At 39.8% G+C, this 1,600-nt stretch overlaps 1 annotated feature.

Annotated features, from left to right (window-relative positions):
- Positions 843-1,012: a silencer, noted in NCBI's record as "silent region_12185". NCBI's record gives its function as "represses an Ori minimal core promoter by ATAC-STARR-seq in GM12878 lymphoblastoid cells {active_cell/tissue: GM12878}" and the evidence as "EXISTENCE:reporter gene assay evidence [ECO:0000049][PMID:35858748]".

The following is a 1,600-nucleotide window of genomic DNA, read 5'->3' as shown; positions in this document are numbered from 1 at the left end:
GATGTTAAAGGGGAGAGTTTATGTCTGCCTTTTTCCACACATGCACTGTATTCCTGAACCTGGTCAGTGGAGATCCAAGGCCACTCAACCTCTTTCAAGTGAGGCTGATGGAACATATGGTGCTTCCTGCAGAGAAAAGGTTCTAACTGGCTCTAAAAGGAATGTCCAATAGTTCTCACCAGGGTTGTTCCACATATTTGGAAATGTGCGGGAGTCATGTTGGTTGTCACAGTGACCAGACAGACAGCAATGAGGGAAGGGAGATGCTATTGGAATTTAGTGGGTTGCAACCAGGGATGCTAAAATGTCCTGCCATGTATAATACCATTATGAGAAACAAAGAATTGTCCTGCTCCATATGTCACTTGCACATCTTTTTTGAGAAACGTTTTTTTCCCTGTTAGGAGTTGTGGAAAACCGGGCTGGGCTTGTTGAAGCAAAGGACCCTGCAAAGGTGTGGACGGACCTACCTACCTCTCCTGGGTTTTGGCAAGCATGATATTAGGAACTCCTCCAAGCAATGAAGATTTAGCCCATTTATTTTCTTCCCCACCCTCAGGACAGGGAGATAATGTTGGCAGCCCTTCAGATGATGTATTTGGGGAACACTGAAAGGCCCATCATGTATGCAGAAATCCCCACCATTAGACTTCTATGCATTAAGACATTGTCTCTAAAAAGACAGTTAAAGTGTAATATGTTACTTGAAGGGATAAAAGTAGAATGTACCTTAGCATGGATTAGTTTACCAGAATAGCTAGCTATCACTTTGGCAACAGGTCTTTAAGAAAATAGATTTAAGCAAGTAATTTTGATATAAGCATAATAAAAGAAGGAAGTGAAAGGAGGAGGACTTTTGGAAGTGAGTCATGAGGGACTCTGAGAGACCAGGAGAGGCTACTGGGTGCCAAAAACAGACGAAAACAGAGAAAGCAGCTACACAAATTTGCTCATATTCTACCCATTTTGTCTCTGCTGTAAGCTTTCTGAAAAGAAAGATTTCAATACCAAAGTAACCTTATCCTTATGAAGGCAGAAACTGTATCTTTTCTTTTATCTGCTTAATTCCACAATGCTTTGCACAATGAATACTCAAATTTTGACAGTTAAGGAATCACAAAAATACTGTATCTTAGATTGCCTTGCTGGAAAGCTGTCAGACTCTAGGTTCAATGAAAGACACACCCGTACAATGGTTTGTTTTGTGTTTTAGGTTCACAGTACAGTTTTTATGAACATGAGTACATAAACTGCTTTATTTCATTTTTTTTCTCTGCCCCATATGATCTGCAGGAATAAGTTGCTTTCTTTTAGCATGAGGGATTCTTCCAGGTGTTTTACAGGAAATTTAACCTGGGTAAAGATGAAGTGGACTTTAAACTCCACATCAGCACTCTGTATTAGAAAAGATTAGGCAGCTTTCTTCTATTTTATGTAGAGCCATAAATTTTAAGACTTGAAACAAGTACATGAGAATAATCTTGTTCAAATAATAAATGATTATGGATCACACTGAAACTTGATGTTTTTCTTGCATAATATGATAATAGTCGGCTGGGCACGGTGGCTCACACCTATAATCCCAGCACTTTGGGAGGCC

This window comes from Homo sapiens, chromosome 2 (assembly GCF_000001405.40).
Source record: "Homo sapiens chromosome 2, GRCh38.p14 Primary Assembly".
In the NCBI taxonomy this organism is placed as follows: domain Eukaryota; kingdom Metazoa; phylum Chordata; class Mammalia; order Primates; family Hominidae; genus Homo; species Homo sapiens.
This window is presented reverse-complemented; position numbering and strand designations above follow the sequence as displayed.